Source organism: Homo sapiens, chromosome 8 (assembly GCF_000001405.40).
Source record: "Homo sapiens chromosome 8, GRCh38.p14 Primary Assembly".
Lineage (NCBI taxonomy): Eukaryota > Metazoa > Chordata > Mammalia > Primates > Hominidae > Homo > Homo sapiens.
This window is the reverse complement of record NC_000008.11, coordinates 115,634,115-115,659,566: the sequence shown is the minus strand read 5'-3', so window position 1 is coordinate 115,659,566 and position 25,452 is coordinate 115,634,115. Positions and strand designations below refer to the sequence as shown.

Genomic DNA, 25,452 nt, shown 5'->3' with positions numbered 1-25,452 from the left:
AATTTTAATCAAGGCCCATATTACTAAATTTTTCAATACATATTCATCTCTTTGTTGTATGATTCATAATTCTTTATCGATTATTTTTTGATATACCTTTGAGATCTTTTAAAATGATATGTTTTACCTGTGTTTGGCTGCTGAATTTTTATATTAGTAATTATATTTAAATTATAAATTAAAAAATACGGAATATGTTAAGCTGTCTTTAAATTAATATTGGAAGTATACCTTTTTAGAAGATTATTGCAAAATTTGCTCCTCAGTTCTGCAAACTTAGGGAAGTTTTAGAAAATAATTTACAAGTAGTCAGTAAGTAGTTACACATTCAAGGATTGAAAAATATGAAATACTATTTTCTGTAGCTTATAAACCAACACTAAGAGATGTTTCTCCTTTGTATTTATAATGCATTTGAATTACATTCTTTGGATGTATGATGTGGTAAATTACTGTAAGAAACTCACTGTCATCTAAACCTCAATTATAATAAACTATTTTACTCTATCCCATCACTGTTTATTCTATTTTTAAAGTCCCGTTTTTAAGAAAACTTGTGCTTTTGAAGGAATGCCCTCATTATTTATAACATATTTTGCTTTTTCTTTTTACTTTGATAAGCTTTAAGAAAGCTGCCAGTAAGATGATTTTAGGTCATTGGTAAAAATAATAATGTACACATTTTATGTGTAAATATGTGTACACAATCTTGCACCTTCACTGTGTCTAACATTCAGCTTTTTAGTGTTATACATATTTTTATTCAACATTACACATATTTGTGTACATTTAGTGTTACACATATTTGTATTTAGTGTTACATGTATTTGTGTACATTTATGTACATCATGTACTTTTTACTCCCAGAATAATTCAGTATATCACTGTTAGCACATAATTATGGACATACATATTCTTCTCACTTCCTGAACGATTCAGTGTGTCCTTGGCAATACTAACACTTTAAAAATGAGAGTAATAATGATTAGAGCTGGAGAACTGGGGGTAGATAGTAGTATTAGCAGGTTTCCCTCCTTTTAATTTTTCCCATTTTCAGTTCCTTCTTTAAAAGAGAGATGTATATATATCTGAACAGAAGGGGGACTAGGATACTGTATAATCCATGATAACATAAGGAACGGTTGCTGCATATGGCTTTATTTATATATCTCTGACATAGAAAACTTTGACCCCTTTGCCTGTTGTACTTGGGAATTTTAGATAAACCCCACTGGGGTCACACTCATCAGTTCCGGCTTTGCGTGACTCAAGGCATTCTCTAGCTTCTGGTGCGCTACTGTGCTGTTTTCCTTCAGGAGTGGAAGGTCCTGTAAGTTCATTTGGCATTTGGAAGCACAACTAGATTTCTTCCTTTTTGAAAATCCTCTGACTGGGTTACAGAAGAGTAAGCAGAGATCATGGGCAGCATGATGTCGTTGATTTTAGGATGCTAAAGAAAATTATGCTGAGACCAAGCATGCTTCCTCTGGCTTATTCTGCCCTGCTTTATCATCATTTTTTTCTTTTTTTCAACTTCCTACCCCTCTTCCCCCTACACTGTTTGGGGTCTAATATTTTAGTTTCTGGAGGAGTAAGGATTTGCCTTCTCAGTGGAAAAATGTGTAAGCTGCAGGATTTTTACCTACCTTTCTTTATAACTTTTCCATTCTGGGGACAGTGTCTAAGAAGAGGAAAAAGCTTACATACTTTATTTTATTTTATTTTATTGTTTGCTATTGAGTAGGAGTTTGCTATTCCATTTCTATGTGGAAATGCGTTGCATGGAATTAAATAAAGTTGTATAATTTTGAAACAATTATAAGCACCAACTGTGACATAGTTCTGGCTTTTAAAAAAAGTCAATTTTAGTTATGCAGTACTTCCACCAAACTCTCTATTCCAAGTTTATAAATGTGAATTTGACCATTCGACCATGGATGATGCTTGAAAGTCATGTTTTCTGGATTTAGGGCAGAAGAATACTTGAAAGATTCTCACCATCAGTATGTTTTAGATTCCCAAGAGGTACAATGCCAAGTGTCATGTTATCAACTCTTTGAGGTCTACAGTAAGGAGTTTACTTGTTTCTGGTAGCTTATAAATTCAATAACATCAGTCACAGGCTTCTTAACGTATTTATGAGTTGAGCTAGTGTAGTTCAATAAATGATTGTACTTCCATCAAGTCGAGGGAGTAACGCAAACTAGAATAGTAGCCATCTATTAAGGATAGTTCTGAGGTTTGGAATTTGTAACTGATTTTTAGGAGCTACGACATGAATATCATATCAGGTAGAAATACTCAGAGTGATCACCTTTTATGAAAGTTAGTTCTATCTTTCATGTCTAGGAAAATATAACAGTGAATGTTTGCTTTTTGTATGTTTTGTCTCCAAGCAGAGGAAACTGACAGTTTTATGTTTTAAGTGCCGAAAGTTGTTTTTGGCTAGGCAGTTCCAGAGTTAATCACTGGGATGTTAACTTGAATTTTTGTCTTTAAAATGTTTTAGATTTTTAAAACGAAATATGCTTCCATTATTTCCAAACTGACACCTTGTGTTCTGGATTAGTTTTTAGAGAAATGTTTTCCAAATTCTCTTGGATTACTTGAAGTCCATTGATTTTGAAATATTTAGTTTAGTTTTTTTCTTTTAAAGCTTATCAGAAAGTAGAGGAAGTACTTTATCTTTTCGGGGTTTTCTTATTCCAGAAACCTTGTTATTGCCTGTAAAATGCAAATGAATTTTGCACTTATTTTGTTTTATTTTCTCTTGTGTTTTCAGAAATGTTTTGATGCATCAGAAATTGAGAGATCAGTGATTTCAGTTCTCCTGTCACACCTTTTTATGATAAAATATTTTGGTCATTTCTAAGGAGTAGTTAGAGGGAAATCCTTTCATAAATCATTTTCACTTCAAAAAAACAGTGATGTTGGAAAATCATATAGTATTCTTTGTGATTAGTTGAAAATTATGAATGGTGTAAAATAATATGACATTTAATTGTTTCTCATTTAGACATGATGCATTTTATATCTCAAAATTTGATGGGAGGAAAAAGAAAAAAAAGAACTCACAACTTTTACCAGGTTTGAAACTAGCTTAAGATAGTTCTGTGGAATTCTCCAAAAGTGATAAGAAAATTTAAAATACTGCCCAGACACAGGGTTAAAAATTAAATCTGTATGTAGAGTGGAGACTTTAATCTGACATATTTTAATGTAAAGACATTTTAGAATAAAGAAAGCTTTCTCTGGTTTTGTCGGCTGTTTTTGTTTTTCGACTGCTTTGCATGAGACGATCGGCATTCTTAAATTATAATTATGTGTAAAAACAAATAAGCTGCTACTGTAAAAAGTAACAGCTCTGCACATATATCTTGAATACTACTAGAAAACATTTTCATTAGAGGAATAAATGCATTAGGCCCTAAATAAATTTAAGATACCAAATTGCAAACTTAGTATCTCTAATACATTACCCATGCTAGTCCCTGCAAAGTGGAATTGATTCTGAGAGAGCTCATTATTTCCGTTGCTAGTAGAGTGTATTTAACAATATTTTGGTGTCTCCACCGGTAGAAATGTGGACATTTCAACCAGCTATCCCCTTGTTTGGTTCCTGTGATGTCAGGCAAACATTTTGCCAAAATGTTTGGTCCGATGTAATCACATCGGTGTTGTGTAATTAAGATAATGTGCTGATTTTGAATCTTGTTAACGTGTTATTTTGAAAGTGTAATTTTAAAAATTTGCCCATTTGGAATACAATAGAAGAGGCAGGATGATGTTTTTAGATTTAATTCAAAGCCTCTATGTACAGATAAATTATGAAAAGTTCAGTAGCTCTTTTCATCTTTTCCTAATATGGGAGAAGGTGGGGGTTTATTTTCATAAACACCATTGTAAAAATAATTGATGAAATGTTTTTTGACAAAAGATCATGTACATATATATTAACTTTCTGAGCTAACAGAATGTACATTTTATTTCATTAGGTTACATTAATAAAACCATGTACAAAAACATACAAATGGAAGAATAGATGAAATCACCTCCCTGGAATCAGATGTAGGGTAAATGGTGTAGTCTCTGAGATGACTCTCTTAGTTCTGTGATTTCACCATAAGAGCTGGCCCCCATCTATTCTGCTTTGGACACATTGTGCCAAAGTGTACAATGTTCAGCTTCCCACAAAAGGAGAAAATACGGGTTTAGGCTTAAGATTCTTCTAACATTCTGTTATGGAGAAATAGACCTTGGCCAAGGAAACACTTCTTTTCTCAATGATGGAACTTTCTTCAGCTGGTCAGTCTAAAATCTGCCATTCAAGTTTGGTTTTACTTCTTTGTTTTTCTTTACTTCAGGTATATCAAAGTGAACATTGGGTCATGTTTTATTCTGAGTGACAGAACGGACTTGAGCTACTATCCATTCTAGCATGATCTTATTTTACAAACAAGAAAACTGAAGATAAAAGTGACTTCCCCCTACTTGGTTAAAGGACTGAACTAGAACTTGGGTCCGTTCACCATCCTCATTCATATGTGAAACACTAGGTGATTTTGATGTTTGCTGAGGAAATCTGCCCACTGTTTAAGATTCATTAGTCTTTATTTTTCCTTTTGCACATGGATATGAGAATAGAATTAAAATGTCATTTATTAGGATGCAGTGAGAAATTGATGATCATAATGAATCAGTTGATATATTCACATTATTTCTTTATCAGTACTTTAGATATGGGCATCAAATGTTTAGAAGCTATCACAGAAAGTTAAAGAATTACTGTGAAAAATCTAGGCTTAATGCTTTTTTCAGACACCTTAGCAATAGTAATGTTGGATTCATTTAGATAAAATCTAATTGGTACTGAAAAACTGCTTATGAAAATGGTCACTAATAAGAAGCTAGTTTGTATTACTTTTCCCTTTAGCTTAAAGCAGCTTTAACATTTATCTATATAGAGAGTAGTATTTTTAAAAATAGTCCATTTGAATTAAGGATATTTTTATCTTCCATGAAATGGATGTTTCTTTATTCATAACAGTCATAGTTCCCTTGGCAGGTTGAAAAACTGTAGATGGCATCTGTGAGATTAGGCTTGAAATGTGCAATTAGTTATTAAAATCTGGCTGGAAAAACCATAAGTGGTGTTTTACATAAACTCCTCAGCATTTATAAAAAACTAATGAAAGAAAAATAAAAGAACCTCATTTATTTTAAATACTTTCCTTATGAATCCTGTCTTTTGAATGATAAATTTCAACTTCAAATGTAGTGAAAATAATTTAAAATATACATTTAATGCCTCTATTTTTCTTTTAAATTTCTCAACTTTCCATTTCTAGCCATGACTTCACAGTACAATATGGATGCCATTTATGTTTATTGATTATAGTTAAGCTAATTTTAATCATACTTTGTTGGAGTGGAAATACAGGAATATTTCTCTGTCTTCTTAGACTTCTGAGGTATTTTACTTAAATCCCTTGTTTCTTATCTTTCAAACCTAATAGTTATATTGTATAGTCCAAAGGGTGAATGCCCACATAAGTGAAATTCACACATTACAACCCCAATGCTATTGTCATTTTCACCTCTGGATTTTAAAGAATTGTGGTAAATACCATGCAGAAAGATGTTGAACCTAAGACAGCCCCCAAGCTCTTTCAGAGCATAGCTCCAGAAGTGTCTTTGAAATGCTGGAGGAGGTGGAGGAGGAGGTGTGTCAGGCCCTGGAAACCGCTGGGCTGGTCCAGGGTCTGTATTTGAACCCCGTTCAGTTCATCTTGAGTCGCAGGGTGAAGAAGACATTGTACTTCCATTTGCATGGATTTTCCGCTCTGTCTTTTAGCCAGAAGGCAGCCTTGTCTTTTTTGTTTTGTTTTGTTTTCTTTTTTGGTTGTTTTGTTTCTTTAATGTTTCTTTCAGGTGAAAAGCCTTTTATAAATATCTTGTAAATAGTTATTCCTTTAAATGAAACAGTTTGCTGGTGGAAAATAATCTTACTCATTCCGTCAGATATAATCAATTAAATCAGAAAACTATAGAATGATCTTTGACATTAAAAAGCAATTTTAAGATGGGTTAAGGAACTATTTTGACTAGTATGCTGATCATCCCACGTAAAATCTCTTTCTTGGTGTGGTGAGCATACTATATGAAGAAAGGCTGAAAACTTCCATTATTATTACATAATCATCTGTTTTTTTCCTCCTTGTCCTGTGGCTACTATCTCTATATAGCAAAATTTATTTTTCACCCAGACTGTGAATTATAACTTACCATTCATTGTATACCTTATAGAACCATAGGAAACCCTATCAGTGCTTATGAGCCTTAGTTTTTCTTAATGATTTTGTTAATGTTATTTATTTTTTACATAATTCTCCCCCTGTATGTAAAATATCTCGTTTTCTTCTTTGACTTTGAGAGATTGGAACCTTTCCATGTACTCTTGGCATTGCAGATCAAAATAAGGCAAAATAGCTCTTATTCTGGGCTTTGTTTATCAGAAAACACCGTTTTTTGTTGGTTTTTATAACAGGTGATATCCAGATAAGGTTTAAATAAGATGAGTTGCTGTATTTTAATGTTTATTTCCACCTCTTAAGGGATTTGCCCTCCTGATAAATCAGTATACACTTAACTGTATTTTAATTCCCCTGAATCACAACTATGCTAATGTAGTCACCTATTTTGGAAAACTCCTTTTCAGACATTCTTTAAACTATTTTATACTTGACCTCATGAGGCATATTTGTGAACACAGACTATCGTGGATATTTTATAGAAGCTAATTAAATAGCATTATCTTCTGGCTATTTGGATTATAATCCAGTTGTAGATTGATTACGGACCATTCTTGGAATCTAGGAAAAGTCCAAATGCAATTCTGTAGCTTATACATGGCTAATGAAGCTGAGAGATAGATTAGGTTTTAAGCAAGGGATGGATTTTAGGTAACAACAAATATTGAATATGGCTCCTTTGAAAGTTTAGAACAAGACAAGGTAAAACAAAACAAATGGCTACTTTTTATTTATTTCCAGATGGATTTCAACTTGCAGGTGACATGGCATAAAGTCAAAACGTTGCTTGTTGAGATTTATTAATTAGAATGTTTTTAAGTCAGATACGGAGTTTGTTCTGTTTCAGATAAAAGAGAAACCTACTCAGACATAAAAATAACCTCAGAGTGGAGAAAATATTGAATCCCCAAATCTGGGTTTCATTTCATGTGAATCTCCATTTCTCAACTAAGCGATATCTGCCAAGGCGCCTCTGTTTGTTGACATTGCTGTATTGAAGTCGCCAGTAGCCTCATGGAAGCCAAGCCCCAGTGGTCTTTCCATCTGACTGCATCTCTCACGTGAATTGGATGCTGTCAGCCATTCTCTTGGGTATCTCTTCTGGCTTGGCTTCTAGGCACTGCATCTCTGCCACACTTGTTCTAGTCTATCATTGAATGTTCTCTTAATCTATGCACTTTTCTTGGAGGGTTTTATGCTTTTAGGTTTTTATCCAAATGAAATAACTTCTGAGCCTTCACCTCTAGACCTAACTTGGTTCTGAGTTCCCATATCAGTGGCCTTCAGCCTCCGTAAGTACTTGCTTTTAAACTTGTTTATCATCCTTAATTTGGCATTCAGGACCCTTCAGTTTGCCCCCAATTTACCAGTTCCAAATGTACTACATCATGTGTCTATCCTTACTATAGTGCTTTCTAGTCCTAGAACATTCTCACACCGACTTTTGTTCATATTCTTCCCTCCTTATGAAATGCCTTCTACGCAACCTTAACTACAGGGATTCTATCTGTTCCTCGGCATGTTCACTTCTGTATTCTTCTTCCTGAAACGCTCTACCTCCGCTCATTTAGGTTAAAACATCCCCGCCTTGTGCTCCTGTTTATGTGTGGCTTTAGCATAGCTCATACCAGAAGCTACCGGGCATCATGAACCTGAGGAGAGTGAGAGCATACGTAATTCATTTTTGTTCCCTTTACAAATGACTTGGATGCAGTAGTTCTCAAAAGTGTTGCATTAAATAGGAACATAGGGGAAGAACACTTTGGCTGGCAACATAGACTTTCAGGTACTGAGAAAATTGTGAAATTGGTTTGTCAGGTTTCAGAGGAAAATAAAGATTATCTGGTATTGCATAAGTTCTAGATGTTTCTTGATGTTTGCCCTAATATATCGTTCCTAAGGTAGGATACCACTGGTTGCAACGGAGTATGTTGTATTTTGCAGTGTGCTTGCAAATCCTGCCTTTTATCGATTAATGTCATTTAGCGAAGTGGGACAGTGTCAGTGAAACTAAGGCAAAGGGGAAGCCTGAATTCATTTGAAAAGTATAAAAAAAGGAGAACACAGGCAGCCTTGTACTTTACTGATATTATATGTGAGACACTATGAACTAATCAGAGATGCAAGATGATACATGGTGTGTCCTTAATTGAGGATAACAGTGTTAGGCTCTAAGGTCATGAGTCAGAAATGTGCCTTTTTAACGTCCATGTTTTGAATGTTCTCAGGCCCAAAGGTTGTGTTGTGATGTTTGAGGACAATGGCTTATGTCTTGGCTTCAGGATGAAAGTTACTTGTAAGTGGGCCCAATGCTTGCATGCTGAGGGGGCAAGGGTGATTTAGAGTCAGGAGATCTAACATGAATATTGATGAGTAGGGTTAGGAGCTGAGCACAACCATAGGTAATGTTGCTTTGAGATGCCCAGGTTTATGGCAGCAAGAGGATATTGGATTCCTCTTTGCTCAAATATTTTTAATATTCACGTTTCCCTCAGTGATAGCCAATCAAGTGATAACTGAATAATAGCTGCTGAGACGTTTTTCATGTTGGAACAACAATGCCTCTGAGATTTCTTTGAATGTTTGATTTTTACTAATCACTTTTAATTTCATCTTAAAAGCCTGGGAACAATTTTGAAGTTTAAGAACTTTTTTTTTTAACTTAAAAGAATTATTTTATCTGACAATTGGGAAGTCCCTTTGATTTAACATTTAACTCTGTTAAGCACCTAAATATTACTTTAAACAGCTCTGGAAAATTAAGCCCTGCTATTATTGTACATTCCCAATCTCTATGGACATGGGACCATGAAGGAGAAATCAAGGAGATCTATTTAATGAATTTCTTTGCTTCTAGGACAGTTCATTACTTGTAGGACTTGCACTTATCTATGCCTTCTTTAAAAACAAAACATTCCAAAGCTTCCTAGAAACCTTAGCTAATTGCATTATACCAACATGCTTTTCTGATGTCACCTTATGTCTGTAAGCAACTTTACAAATCCTTTGAAAGAGATAGTTGGATTTTTAAAAGTAATATCTGCTTGGATTTTGCAAATTAAGCCACAGTAGAAACAGTTTCACTGTAGAGTACATGCTAGTTAATAAGTAGGGGTTTTTAAAATCCTCTGTACTTTTCCACAACTGAAAGGGTGCATACTTTTGGTTGAAAGTGAGTAGGCGAAATTTAGACCTGCTGTTCTGGTAGCCCTAGTGGCCATTTCATAATCCCTGATATGATTGTCCAGCTCTCCTGTTTGCTAAATGCAGAAATAGAGGAAGGAAATGGATGTTTTGGCTCCATTAAAATGTTCCTTATCAGACTGTATGTAGGAGTGGATGCTGTTGAAGATGCCTCTATTGCCAGCTGTACAGCATGTGTGCTGGGCTAGTTTCCTGGCTGCTAAAGCTGCGTGGTGCCCTTTAATGATGGGAAGGAGGACATTAAATGTGTTGGGCTTAGTGTTTTCACTTGTGAACATCAGGGAGCAGAGGGCATGCAAACTTTGCCCAAAGGCTGGACACGGTTTGCATAGAAATGAGCTGCGTGTAGTAATAACTGACTTGGTAGATGCGCAGCTAAGCACTGATTACTAAGTAAAAGTGAGTGCAACCTCAGGCCATAGGTGAGCTAGGTTGACCAGGGAAAGGCTGCGTTCCAAGAGGTTCGTCTTCCATTGGGGCCGCCTTAAAATGCTGATCCTGATTCACACTGGTTGAGCAGTGTGCTGTATGTTGTCTTCACTTGAGATAGAAACTGCTGTCATCTTTATTTTATAGAATGGAGAGAACTGGGTCTCAGGAAAGTATAATAAATTGCCTAGGCTACAACAGGTAGCAAGTAGCAGAGTCAGGATTTCAGTCCAGGCAGCCTGGCCCTAAGAGCTGAGGCTCCCTCTACTTTGTTTCTTATCTGGTGGGTGAACAAGATTTGAGTTGCTGTATCTTCCAAGGTAGTATTATAATGGTATTTCAAAGACTAGCTGACTTTTTAATGTTAACAGTGTTCCAATTTGCTTTCTCCTTAGGCCCTAATTCATTGTCAGAGATAAGGCCATCACCTTTATATATGAGACATTTAAACAAATGTTTTTAGTAATAATTCAGGAAACATACAACCGGTATTCTTTCTGTAGCGATATCTGCAGTCTCTTGTTATAAAAAGAACTCTATTAGTTTAAGTAACTGTCTCTTCTTGGCCCCATTACAGTAAAAAGTCTGTGATCAGCACCCTCTTGGAAGGGGAAGTTGTTGAATGACAGGGATGTGGTACTGTCCTGATAATCCTATGGCTTTGTATTTCTTAGTTTATTTATACTCCTGGGTAACTACCCCTGCTCCACATGGAGTATTGACAGCTTTGAATCTGAGGTAGCTTATGTGTGCTACAAAGACAAAAAAGAAAAAAAAAAAGAAAGCGTGGTTTGGGTTAGACTTAAAAAAGTACTTTCATCAGTTATTATCCAGCGTGTCTGTTAGATTTTTAAGTAATTTATATTTTATGAAAGAGCTTTAAAGACGCAGTGTGCTTTAGTGGATAGTGTAGCGAGAGAAATAAAATAATAATAATAAGGGACATTTTCTTTAAAAAAATTTTTCCTTTTGTTTTTAAGAAGAAAAAAGAATCAGAACTGCAGATCAGGAACAGAAATAGCATTCCATTTTCTTTTCACGGATTCTGGAGCAGCTACGGTGAGAGTGAGTTGGCTCAGTCTGGGAAGGAGGCTGCTGTCTGCGGCCCTGCCTAGGCGGCAGCGGCGACACAACAGGAGCTGCGTGTGTGTCGCTGGCGTTCGCTCTCGCAGGAGCCCCGGGCCTGCGGCCGCCACCACGCGTGCTCGGCGCCCGGGCTGTGGGCGTGTTATCGCAGGAAGTCCTGCGGAAGCAGTTGTGTGCGCCCGTTCCCTCCGGTTACCTCTCTCATCCTCGGCTGCTGCGCGGTGCCTGCAGCCTCCCTCTCCTCCTCCCTCTCCAGCGCTGCCTGCCCTGCCAGCTGCGTGGAGGCCGCCTCCTGCCCGCTTCTTCCCACTCCCTCTGCCCTGTCGCGTCGCATCCCCTGGCCAGCCTGCCCTTCTCCCCACTTCCCAACTTGGCTTCCTCTCTCCATAAACTCTCTTTCCTCTTGTCTTCTCTTTTGCTTCCTCTTTGCTGCCACCCCTCCTTGATTTGACGCTCTGATTTCCTCTTGCCAGATCCCAAATTGGGTTCATCAGCAGCTACTCATCCTTAAATCTTATTCACCTGTGATCATTGGGCAAACTGTAAGAGGCATGAGATTAATGCAAAAAAGGGAGTTCCTTACTATGGGAGGAAATCTCTGGCTATCAAAAAGTCATGCTTTTTTTTTTGTCACATATTAAAATTAAGCACTAATGTAAATACAAAAAAATTTAAAATGATGGCATAGGTTATTAATGAGTCCAGGAATAAGGCAAAGAAGGACAATCTGAAAAAATAATCTCAAATGAATATAACAAAATTGCCCATTTTTTATGGAGATAACTAAAATTGTGATAAAGTACTAGATTTTATTAATGAAAATATTATTAGTCTTTAAGTTAGTCATGTACTTTGTCATATAGCGTTTTCAAGGAGCTGCTTAAAGTGTTTCTGATATTTTGAAGTATATTTACTTACACAAACATTCTTGAGTAGATGGAAGTGTGTGTCTCATGCATTCTCAATCAGAAACTATAAATAAAGTCACTTAATCAAAATTTACCTTATGTAATAGTTTCAAAAGCACATGAAGCCTTTTGGAGTGACTAAGGCTATATATGTATATAAGGCTACTGTATTTTTAGCATTCTGGGAACTGAGGCCTTTATGTTTTTCTTAAATTATGAACTTTAAGACAGTAGCTATACGTGGATCCCTATCAAGTTTTTGCCTTCTTTACATCATCAAGCTTATTTTTAAATTAATTCTTGTTACGGACATGCTTTTTATACCCTCTGTATTAATTTCCTTTTCTAGAAGTCCATATTAGTAAGGCCATATCATGAAAATTAGTATTTTTAGTAGGGCTGTTCTGAAATTTTTCCACAAGAGATATTTTGCAATGACTGAGCTATATTGATTCATATAATTTGTATCCAACTGCTTCATTTTGCCTTGAGATTTCCAGTGTACCTAATATTAGGTAAAGAAAATAGTTGATATATGACTGGATGTGAGGTGGCCATTTTAACTTGTAGGTGACAGGATTTATCTCTTGATTTCTTCGTTAATTTTAAAATAAATAAACAAAAAACAACATAAGGAAGTTTAGATCCTTCTTTTTAATTTGTAACACTTCAACTTCTAGTATTGCTTTCTGTAGGGGAGAATTTTTCAGTTGATAACATGAGTTGATTTCATAAGTTATAGTATTTAAAACTAGAGATGTTTTGTCACAAAAAAGTTGTCCCTTTAATATATGATTTAGCACGGCAACTCTTTTTAAAGTAATATGTTTAAGAGAAAACCATGACCTTATGATAAAAATAATACTAAACCAATTATTAATAACTACAGTTTGCCGTCAAACGTCTTAGCTAAATAATTACCTTATTAGAACAAAGGTATTGAAAGCACAGCACCAGAAACACTGGCTTTAATATTCAAGTAATAAAGACTTTAGGTCCACCATATATTTTTCTCATGGCTGGAGGAGCAAGTCCTAGAGTATGGGGGGCATACTTATTACTTCAGTTGTCATAAATGTGGATCACAGTATTTTCTAAACTTTTTGTTTTATTTTGCATTTTTCTATAATTTGAGCACTTTGACCTCTTTTCAAGTTTATTTGTTCTCCAGATATGTACAATACAAGTTAAAAGAAAGTTCAGTCATCACAGTGCCTTTTGGGACATGTGATTGTCTGGAATAGACTTCTGTCCAGCTATGGTTAGAAGTCCCATAGGTTGTAGCTATGTTTTCCTTTTTGTGAAGTGGCTCTGTTGGAATAAAACCAGTCTTAAAGTAATTCTATAATTTCTCTAGAATGCAGTCTTCTCACCCATAGGCTGTGAGTAGTAGTACCTGGGCACAGGTTTTGGGGGGAAGAATCAGTTTAGATAAAACATGTAAAACAGGTTTGGTGAATGTCAAACGATTGAATATTTATTTCTATAAATAATGATAATGATTGTTCTGTTTCTAATCTTTGTAATTTCTGTGTGTCATTAACTATGGGAGTGCTTAGACTATTCAAAATAGTATTTCTAAGGCCTTATTTTATTTTTAATTTTAACAATTATATTTAGGATATTTACGGACAGGAACAAACTGAGCATTCTAGCCGTCAGCTATTGTAGAAAGAGTGGCATTATATTATCCCAAAAGGCTAGCTCAGTGTCATCCTTTGGTAGAATACATGCCTTAAATTCAAAAGCTCTGTTATGTTTGAATTTCAGTTCTATAAGCTTTGGTATTCAATAGTGCCGAGTTCAAGGTCTAAATTGGAAAAACTTGCAAGAAGTATTTTTGCATTGTTTTTTCACATTGTACATCTTTGCCTTGTTCTTTGGGCCTTTAATGACATGTGCCATCATTTTTTAAAAATATTTGTATTAGTACCTAATTTTAATACATGATTTAAAAAATATGACTTTTTGATACCCAGGGATTTCCTCTTGTAGTAACTTTTTTGCATTAATTTCATGAAATTTTTTCCTCTTCCTCAAAATGAGCACACAATTCCTCTTCAAAGTTAATGACTGTCTTATTTTTCAGTAGGTTGTTTTAATTTTGAATACCTCAGAACCTTTCTTGAGGGGTAGTATTTTAGAGATAATGTTTTGTGGTTCTCACTGGATATTTTAGAAGTTTTATTTTGATTATGTGGAATATATCCTACATGATCATAAGCACTTCGTTAATAAAAATGGTTTGTTATTACTGAGATCACCCAGTTTTTCGGCAGGAGAATAATAAATAGAAGTTGTGTGATTCCATAGCCACTGTAGGGTGTACTCTAGAGCAGAGTGATTCTGGGTTATAACCACATATCCTAAATTTCAAGCTAATAGTGTGTATGTGTGTGCGTGTGTATATATATGTAATTACCTCGTTTTATTGCACTTTCCATTTATTACACTCCACAGATGTTACCTTTTTTATAAATAAAGATTTGTGGCAACCCTGTGTCAAGCAAATCTATCAGCACCATTTTTTTCAAAAATATGTGTTTACCTTATGTCTCTTTGTCACATTTGGAAAATTCCTGCTATATTTCAGACCTTTTCATTGTTATTATATTATATCTGAGTTGGTGGTCTGTGATCTTTGATGTCACTATTGTTATTGTTTTGGGGAGCCATGAATGGTACCCACGTAAGATGGCAAACTTAATTGATAAATGTGTTTGTTTTGAGTGCTCCACTGTCTGGCTGTTCCCTTGTCTCTCTGGTGCTCGTTGGTCCTCCCTATTCCCTGAGACATAATGATTTTGAAATTCAACCTATTAATAACCCTACAATGACCTCTAAGTGTTAAAGTGAAAAGAAGGGTTTCATGTCTCTCACTTTAAATTGAAAGCTAGAAATGATTATGCTTAGTGAGGAAGGCATGCTGAAAAAGAGAGAAGCCAAAAACTAGGCCTCTTGTGCCACATGGCCAGGTTGTGAATGCAAAGGAAAAGTGCTTGAAGGAAATTAAAAGTGCCACTCTGTTGAACACACACATGATAAGAAAGCAAAAACAGCCTTATTGCTGATATGGAGAAAGTTTTAGTGGTTGGGTAGAAGATCAAGCCAGCCACGACATTCCCTCAGGGCACAGCCTAATCCAGAGCAAGGCCCTCTGTTTGATTCGGTGAAAGCTGAGAGAGAGATAAAGAAGTTGCAGAAGAAACGTTTGAAGCTAGCAGAGGTTGGTTCATGGGTTTTAAAGAGATATGTCACATCCATAACATAAAAGTACAAGGTGAAGCAGCAAGTGATGATGAAGAAGCTGCAGCACATTATCCAGAAGATCTAGTTAAGATCAGTGATGAAAGTGGCTACACTAAACAACAGATTTTCAGTGGAGACAAAGGAGCACATTCAAAGGACAGGCTGACTAGTTAGGGGCTAATGCAGCTGGTGACTTGAAGTAGAATCCATTGCTCATTTAGCATTCCAAAGATTCTGGGACCCTTAATAATTATGCTAAATCTACTCTGTGGAGCTGTGCTCTATAAAAGGAACAGCAAAGCCTGAAGGATAGCACATTTGTTTACAGTATGGTTTACTGAATAGTTGAAGTGCACTGTTGAGACCTACTACTTGGAAAAAGATTCCTTTAAAAGTATTACTGCTCACTGACAATGCACGCAGTCACCCCAGAAGCTCTGATGGAGATGTACAAAGAGATGAATGTTATGTTCATGCCTGCTAACACAACATCCTTTCAGCAGTCCTTGGATCAAGGAGAAATTTCAAAATTCAAGTCATTATTTAAGACATACATTTCATAAAGCTATACCTGCCATAGTGATTCCTCTGGTGGATCTGGACAAAGTGAGTTGAAAACCTTCTGGAAAGGATACATCATTTGAGATACCATTAAGAACATTCATGATTCATGGGAGGATGTCAAAACATCAACATTAGCAGAAGTTTGGAAGAAGTTGATTCCAGCTCTCATGGATGACTTGGAAGGCTTCAAGACTTTAGTGGAGGAAGTAAGTGCAGATGTGGTAGAAATAGCAAGAGAACTAGAATTAGAAGTGGAGCCTGAAGATATGACTGAATTGCTGCAATCTCCTGATAAAACTGGAATGGATGAGGTGTTGCTTTTTCTTAAAGATAAGCAAAGAAAGTGGTTTCTTGAGATGGAAGCTATTCCTGGTGGAAATGCTGTGAACATTGTCAAAATGACAAAAGATTTAGAATATTCCATCAACTTAGTTGATAAAGCAGCATTAAAGTTGGAGATGATTGACTCCAATTTTGAAAGAAGTTCTAGCGTGGGTAAAATGCTATCAAGTGGCATTGCATGCTACAAACAAATCATTCATGAAAGAAGAGTCAGTTGATGTGGGAAGCTTCATTGTTGCCTTATTTTAAGAAATTGCCATAGACACCCCCAGCTTCAGCAAAGACCTCCACTGAGCAGCTATCAACAATGAGGCAAGACCAGCAAAAAGATTACCAATTGCTCAAGACTCAGGTGACTGTTAGTATTTTTTAGTAATAAAGAATGTTTTTAACTAAGTGTATTTTTTAAACATAATACTATTGCCCACTTAATAGACCATTGTGTAATGTAAATGTAGCTTTTATATGCACTGGGAAACCAAAATATTCTTGTGACTTGCTTTATTGCAATATTCACTTTATTTTAGTAGTCTCAAACTGAATCTGTAGTATCTCCGAGGTGTAGTATCTCCGAGGTGTTATATATATATAACGTTAAATATATATATTTATATATATATATATTTTTTTTCACGAAGTAAGCATGCTTTTATTATCAGATAAAAACATTAACCAAATATGTCTTTTTGGGGAATAATAAAAATGATTAAACTTACTAATGTTTTTGCTGGGGTTAGATTATCAAAGCATTTTTTTAAACACTGACACAGTCATTCATATTTTCTAGGAGAAATTACCATGCACCTTTGGAGTCATTTTTTGATAGAAAAGGTGTCCCTAATTGAGAGTACCAATTTTAAATTTTTGTTGGCAGGTGCTGCTATTGAATTGTATTTGGATTATAAAATTCACAAGTTTCATAATTGGAGGCTTATGGAGTGTATTGATGAGATGATTAGAATTACTCTTTTGGTTATGTAAGTTTTTAAATAATGGAAGAAGTTCTAGAAATCATACAAAAATTTCCAAAATAAGACTTTCAGAGGCTGTGAATGATACTGATTTTCTGTCATCTTTGTCATTTAAACACAGTTCTGTATTATTTTTTTGCTCAGCAATAAAGGAGTCAGTAGGTCCATCTGTGTGTTTCTGTTGGATTCATATCGGATATATGACTATTATGTATGTAGTGTCTTGAATGTGTATGTGTGTATATATATATATACACACAGGTTTCTTTTCTTTTTTTTTTCTTTTTTTGAGATAGGGTCTTGCTGTGTTGCCCAGGCTGGTGTCCTGTGGTGCGATCATAGCTCTCTGTAGCCTTGAACTCTTGGGCGCAAGGGCTCTTCCAGCCTCAGCCTCCTAAATAGCTGGGACTACAGGCACAAGCCATCATGCCTTTGCTAATTTTCTAATTTTTTGTAAAGACGGAGTCTTGCTGTATTTTCCAGGCTGGTCCTGAACTCCTGGCCTCAAGGAATTCTTCCCATCTCAGTCTCCCAAAGTGCTGGGATTACACATATATTTTAGACTTTGGAAATTAGGAAAACTGAAAATGGAGTTTTGTTTTGTTTTGTTTTGTTTTGTTTTCGAGACGGAGACTCATTCTGTCACTCAGGCTGGAGTGCAATGGTGCAATCTTGGCTCATTGCAACCTCCGCCTCCCAGGTTCAAGTGATTCTCCTGCCTTAGCCTCCCGAGTAGCTGAGACTACAGGCATGCGCCACCATGCTCAGCTAATTTTTTGTACTTTAGTAGAGATGGGGTTTCACCATGTTGGCCAGGGTGATCTCGAACTCCTGACCTCAGGTGATCCACCTGCCCTGGCCTCCCAAATGAAAATGGAGTTTTCATTTCCATATATCACAGTTGTTTTTCAATATAGGTCTTCAGTGACTGGAAGCCATTGCTATAGGCTGGTAATTTGATAACCCATTTTTGAAATGTATTTATTGAGCTCATTGTAATTCAGTATGCCTCTGGTGAAAGGCGTGGGATGGTATAGGTTGAAAGAATAATCTGTGGTTGTTCCCTACAGAGACGCTGCTGCCCCTTTTTGGGCAGTCATCTTTAACCTGGCACCCACTAGTGTATTTGCTAAAATGGAATATTCCAAAATTTAAATGATGTCACATTTGAAAGCAATGCCAAGAAACAATGCGGCAGTTTCTAAATTTTGTGAAGCTAAAATCCCTGGTTACAAGAAAGAGTACATGTCACAGATGAGTAGTTAGTAATGACTTCAGTTTAGCAGGAAAAGAGCAATTCCCATATGCTGATTCTAGTCTCATAACAAAGAATGTTATAGAAAGATTGCACAGTATTTAACAAGCTGTGAGTTAATGTGACAGTGTCGGTGTATCTAGTTCCAGAAGGATAATCACTTTACCATATTTCTTCAAAAATATTTTAAGTTATATTCCAAAACAGAAAACCAGATACATATGAATCCAGACTGTTCCCTGCAACACCTCCCCACCCCCAAGTTAGGTAGTAAAATCAGGTTTAAGCAATTGAATTGCTTCCGACCTGCTGGCTGCCAAATACCTGAATAAATGTAGAAGTTCCATTGTCAGACTCTGAACCTCAGAGGCTTACCTGTTATATAAGGGAGAGTGGGTATAAATGAGAGTGTTACATCTTGAACTGTAATTATCCAAAACTTAGTTTTCAGCGCTTCAGTTTACCTCTAACCAAGAGCCTCTCCTAATTTGAACATAGACTACGCCCTTCAACACTTACGGATACGTTAGGAGTTGAGAAAATTAGGTAAAGTTGTATTGCTTTCAGTCCTTTGGAACACATACTGGATACAGGCATTGGTACTGTAGGTGTGTTAGTTACCAGCAATTCATTTCCAGGGTTTTTCCCAAAGACCTGCTGTTTTATGCGTGTTCATATTAGTACTATGATTTGCTTATTCCTGTGAACACGAACAACACTGACAGATAACAGTTTTGAACAGTAGACCTGTGTCTTTTAAAAGCTTAAAACTCCATGCACATCATTTTGTCGTTGCAAAGACTTCTAAAGGCAGGCATGGGGAGGCATTGTGGAGTAGGGAGAGGATATTATGTCCTTCAGTGATTTAAGGAAATGCATGTTTTCCATCATGAAAGAAAAGATAATCATTATCAAATTCAGAGGAGATTGTTTTATCATTCCCATAATGAACCTGTGTCTCTTTTACCAATTAACATATAGATGGATATTAGGAGAAACCAGGTTCAGGTAGAAAGAGGTACATAAAATTAATAATCCATCACGAGGAATTTCTGCAAAGTGCCTTTTATAGAGAATTTTTTTTCTTGGAAATTTTTGAAATTATCAAGTATAAAGTTGATGCTTAAATTATGTTTTAATCTTTCTTAAGACTTTCTCTGGATGCAGATTATGGAATTAAGGTGTTTTGATACTGTGAAAGTATGTGTTGCTAATACTGTAACATACTGTACATTTACTATACTGTCAATAATATATGTAACTACTACTGAGTATTGACTACTTTAAGAAGTTAAGGTCTCTCAGTTTGTCACAAGAGACATTAGTCTTATATCAAGGGTTTACCTCATGAAGTGACATAGGCAGGCGACTGACATTCCACTACCAGTATTAGACTTTTTATTTATTTATTTAATTTTTGAGATAGGGTCTCACTCTGTTCCCCAAGCTGGAGTGCAGTGGCACGATCTCAGCTCACTGCGACCTCTGCCTCCCAAGCTCAAGCAATCCTCCTGCCTCAGCCTCTGGAGTACCTGGAACTACAGGCATGTGCCACCACGCCTGGTTAATTTTTTTTTTTTTTGTAGAGATTGGGTTTCACCATGTCACCCAGGCTGGTTTCCAACTCCTGGACTCAAGTGGTCCACCGACTTGGCCTTCCAAAGTGCTGGGATTACAGGCGTGAACCACCACGCCTGGCCATTATTTGATTTATACTGTATTTTTAGTGTACAAGCTGTTTAAGAGAAACATTGATCTTAAAGCATAAGAGTCAATGATTTTGAAAAATGAAAACAAGGGAAATCTGGTCAAATTTGCTTTTATCCTTCCACCCAAAATTGTTTGGCTGCCTGCATTTTGTAATCATATAGTGATTGACTGTTGGACATCGTGGCTCACACCTGTAATCCCAGCACTCTGGAAGGCCAAGGTGGCAGGATGGCTTGAGCCTTGGAGTTCGAGACCAGCCTGTGCAACACAGGGAGACCTCATCTCTACAAAAATATATAAAATTCAATTAACCCAGAATGGTAGTACATGCCTGTTGTCCCAGATACTTGGGAGGCTGAAGCAGGAGAATTGCTTGAGTCTGGAAGGTCAAGGCTGCAATGAGCCATGATCATGCCACTGCACTCTAGCTGGGACAACAGAGCAAGACCCTGTTTCAGAAATAAATAAATAAATAAAATCATATAGTGATTGAATTGATCTGTGCAGAAAGTACCTCTTTCTCCCAATGGATGCTGGCATCTTCATTCAGTATATATAGAGTGGCCACTTTGTGTGCTACCTGTTAGCAGTTTATAGTCTAATGGGGGAAGGATAGGAGGAATATAAGAAATTATAGCACATTGCATTTACAATCTATTTCAGTATACATTATCTTATTCATTTAATTTGTACTCTCTTTTCTGTTTATTCCCTTTAAAAAAAACTTTGTAAAATAGGCCAATTATACATATTACTGTGGGAATTAAGAAAGTAAAGATGTGAGTAAGCTCAAAAAAAAGGGTAAAAACCCCGCCAAAACCACTGTTGGTTTTGGTTAATGTGCTTGCATAATCCTTTGAATCTGTGTCTTTCCTGAGTGTATGTGTAAAACTCTGTGTGTAAGTGTGTATATTTCTGTCTGTATCCTGTCCAACTTTGGCAAAGGGGTAGTTTTGCCCAGATTTGCTTTTGGAGCTAAAAGGAGATCTCTGCCCACACCTTTTCTGTGAGGTCTGTTACCTCACACTTGAGAACAATGTCAATTTTTGGGGCCTTAAAGGCAGTGTTGGCTTCTGCCCAAAGGTACCTTCATGACCTTAACACAAATTCACAAATCAACCTATTTTATTCATTGCACTCATGTCTTCGGGCTCTCCACTGCAGAGTCTTAAAGGAATTGTTTTGGAATGGACACAAAGATTACTAACCTCTGTGGAAAAGTACCCTGACTTTACAGCGTTCCTACTTCAAAAACAAACTCTGTCTGGATGGCAAGTCATTGGGAGACTTGAGTGATTACCGGGGAGTTTTGGTGTAAAATGGAATTTTAGATTAACCTTTAGCACCTAAATCTGAGGTCTGTCAAGTCTCCGTTTTTATAGATCTGACTTGAATTAAAGAGGTGTGTTGTGTTGAAGCCTTCCTGGCCCTTATTTTAACTACTGATTTACATGGGGTGTATAGTGGGGATCATCACTGAGTTTTGACCAAGTTCTGGGAAAGCTCCCTGTGGGACTGGGAAAATCTGGCTCATTTTGGAAAACCTAAATTTATGTTTTTAAATAATTTGGAAAACCTGGTAAAATGCTACAGGTATAAGAACTTAAGAATTATAATGGATCAGGATAAACGGGGCTAGAATAAAACACTAAGTACAGTCAGGCAGTCAATGGAAACAAACAGATGGGTGTCAAGAGCTAAGTTAGTGAGTTGATCAGCTCTATTTTTGTCTTTTCAATAAGTTTCATGAAGCTTGTTCAGCAAACATGAGTAACTTCAATAAGTTCATGCAGCAAATATTTATTAAGCAGCACCTACTCATTTATGGGATACTGTACTAAGGTGTGATAATATCAATATGAATGACAACAAAAGAACACTGTCCAGGCAAGAATACAAATAATGTAACAGATAAATAAAATATTGATAGTCATAACTCCAATATAGCTATATAAAGATGATCATAGCACATAAATTCTGGAAAAATCCAGTATCATTAATGTCTCCATTAATGTATACCAGTCACCCCATCTTTTTATCTGAACCTGTGCGATATTTCTGGGGTTTTAAAAATTCCACTTCCTTTTACGATCAGAGTTGAAGATTTGTTTTGAAACCCATCACTTTTCTTCATTTTCTACCTTTCCCTTCTTCCGTCTACATGTCACACCACATCTAGTTTAGTTTTCCTAATCTCTTCTTTTTAGAAACTTCAAGTGGCTTCCTGCTTTCTCCAAGTGGTCCAGCCTCATCAACTGGGATTCAAGATTCTGTCTTATTAACCTTGGCAACCACGTCTTCCATGTGAGCCATTTGGTTTAAACCTAGCTTCTTCTCTGTTTCTTGACATATGTTAATATTGTTAGCAACCGTTTGTTTCTCTTACTCCTGTTTGCTGGAATCCCCTTTTCTGTCCCCTGTAGCTGTGCAATTCTTACTTCTCTCTCAGGATAATCTTCACTCTCATCTCTGTTAACTGTTTCCTCTGCCATTGACCACGTTGGTTATTTTATTATGAACGAAAGAAATAATAGAAATATTAATAAAAGATAGCAAACATTTAGTACTTACTGATTACTTTTTTGTGTGTGTTTTTTTTTTGCTTTTTTTGTTTTGTTTTGTTTTTTAGATAGAGTCTCACTCTGTTGCCCAGGCTGGAGTGTGGTGGTGCTGTCTCGGCTCACTGTAACCCCCACCTCCCAGGTTCAAGCGATTCTCCTGCCTCAGGCTCCCAAGTAGCTGAGATTACAGGCACCCGCCACCACACCCAGCTAATTTTTGTATTTTTGGTAGAGAGGGTTTCACCATGTTGGCCAGGCTGGTCTTGAACTCCTGGCCTCAGGCTATCCTCCTGCCTCAGGCTCCCAAAGTGTTGGGGTTAAAGGCGTGAGCCACCACGCCCAGCCAAGTACTTAACTGATTACTTTCAAGGGAATTTACTGTTTACACTGCTCATTTTGGTGCTAAATCATGTCTCCTCCTGTATTATTACTGAAATGTTTAATGTGAGCCTTGTTTCTTTAACAAAGGTAGATTATTGCTTCTTAGAGAGCAATAATTTTCTCTTCGAATTTAAATATATGCCCAATAAATACATAATATATGAATAAATTAATTGATTGGATATTTTAGAAGTCTGAAATGCCCTTGCCCATAAGAAGAATGTATGTATGACATTTGGGGTTGCATTGGTACTTTATTTTCCAGCCTGATGGACAAGAGTGATTTTAAAACCATCAATGCCTCTGCATCTGTGGCGCAGTAAACAGGAACCCTATTGGAAATTAAATGTGTCATCTTGTGCTTCATAGCCAGACTATTAAGCTTTTAGGAAGAGATCAATTTAAAATAAATTATATGTATGTACATATACATTAATATGTAATATATAGAATATAATGATTATATTTACAGGGTTATATTTAATTCCTGATGATAAAAAAAGGACGATTGGCATTATCTTATCAGAAAATGAAAAAATGCATCAAAATCAGACAATATTTTAAAGAAAAAATTTATGTCATTTCAGTAATGCTTTTTTACTTGACATAATTATGTAGGAAAACTATCCATAATCCAGTAGTAAACATTATGTATGAAAACTTGATGTGAACTTTTGTCAATACATATGATACATTATTATCTAATGTTTTCAGGAAAACAAATTTTCTACAACATTTATGTGTTAATCTTTTATTTCCTGGAATTGAAAAATTTAACCAAACACCACAGAAATTGCTAATACCACTGAACTTGTCTCAGTTCCCTTAAGAAGCCACATTCTCTCTTCATCTGGGCCTTTCCCAGGTCTCCTGCCATTTCTTCTGTTGGAATCACTCAATCCTCTCTTTTCACCTGGCCAGTTTTTGCTATCCTTGTTTGTGTTCTTCCTTTTTACCCCCAGAACCCCTTGTTGTTATACCAAACTGGGATTAGTCACTGCTCTTCCTTGTTTATTTATTTCTTTTCTCTAGGTAGACTATAAGCTCACTCAGGGTAAGTTTCTTCTCTGCCTTGTTCACAGTTGTATCCTCAGCACCTTACTCAACACTTTACTCAATGCCTGACACATAGTTGGCCCTCAGAAACTATGTTGAATGAATAAATGTTACGTGAGTTTTGACTTAGGAGCATCAGTTATCATATCACTTGGTCAGTTTGCAATATTTGCCCAAAAATAGGATTTAGTGCAAAATGAGTGCTGATGCCAGCAGATATCTTTGACCTTGGTTTCTGGGGAAAAAAAAATTCTCATATCAGCTTGTTTGGATAATTGCTTGCAGAGTTTCCATGAAAGGGAAGTGGTAGATGCACAAATGGATAAAGTGTAGGACTTTTTGACAGGACTAACTGCATTCTAACTTATTGCATCAAAGACTATAGCAGTCATCTCTCAAGCAGTATTCTGGTCATCAGAAAATATTCTTGAACAGTGCTATCTTTTAACTGGTTAGCACTCTCCAAAGTATTTCATGTGGTTTTTTCACTGTTCATACCCTGGACTACATGGATTACCTGCCAGGGTTCATCTATTATTTTAGCTTACCTGGACTACATTGGTGAGACTTCATGAAGGAGAATTCCACTTTTATTTCAGTAAACCAGGGCAGGATATTTTGGGACCTACAACAACCTGTCTTTTCTTTCTTCTTTTTATCTTTTTTTTTTTTTTAACCTAAGAAGATGGTAAACACTTAGTAGGCTGCAATTTTCTTTCTTAATGACTGTCATAATGTCTCACATTTAATATAACTTGTTCTATTTTGATGTTAAAACAGGGCATTCTTAATGTTACAACAGGATTAAAAGTACTGTTTGGTACTCTCATGATATGTTAACTCTTTTACGAAGTCATTTAAATAACAGTATTGTATTTTCTGAATAGCACCCTGGTTTGCAGGCTCAATAAACAAGTTATCTTTAGCAGGTATGAAGATGGTGATAATACCACCAGATACCAGTACTGTTTAGGTGAAATCTGTAGTAATTTGCTTTTGAAATAATCAGGTAAAACTGTTACTATGAAATGCTGTTTTGCAAAAAGTTCAAAAGACTAATGGATGTGATTAACTTTAAGTTATCCTATAGAGTGCTACTTTTTCTTGGGTATTATGTTGCTTCTTTAACAAACATCCTTTTCTTTCCATGTGTAGGCTTATTTCCTGTAGAGAGCAGTAAAACATGTAAAGCATTATTCATGCTTTGACTTCTAGAACATGTAAAGCATTCATAGATTGGGGATCAGTCAACTAATTCTTACTTTGCTTAAACCCAAAGTTCTCAAGCTTGTTTAGGTGACTGTAGTCTTGGACTTTGTGATTCTGTCTGAGAAACTCCGTGGAATAGTGTTAAATTATCATATCATACAAAGATGGGGCAAATTATGTGCAATAAAATGTGATTGTATCATATCTGTGTGTACC

At 36.2% G+C, this 25,452-nt stretch overlaps 1 protein-coding gene across 4 annotated transcripts in view, besides 1 other annotated feature; it reads left to right on the top strand.

Moving 5' to 3' along the window:
* The window catches only part of TRPS1 (transcriptional repressor GATA binding 1), a 260,480-nt gene that overhangs the window by 9,409 nt on the left and 225,619 nt on the right, over window positions 1–25,452 (top strand). The gene's annotated exons all lie outside the window — the stretch shown is intronic.
* Window positions 1,111–1,405: an enhancer, noted in NCBI's record as "tiled region #6921; HepG2 Activating non-DNase unmatched - State 24:Quies". NCBI's record gives its function as "activates a minimal TATA promoter and a strong SV40 promoter by Sharpr-MPRA in HepG2 cells {active_cell/tissue: HepG2}" and the evidence as "EXISTENCE:reporter gene assay evidence [ECO:0000049][PMID:27701403]".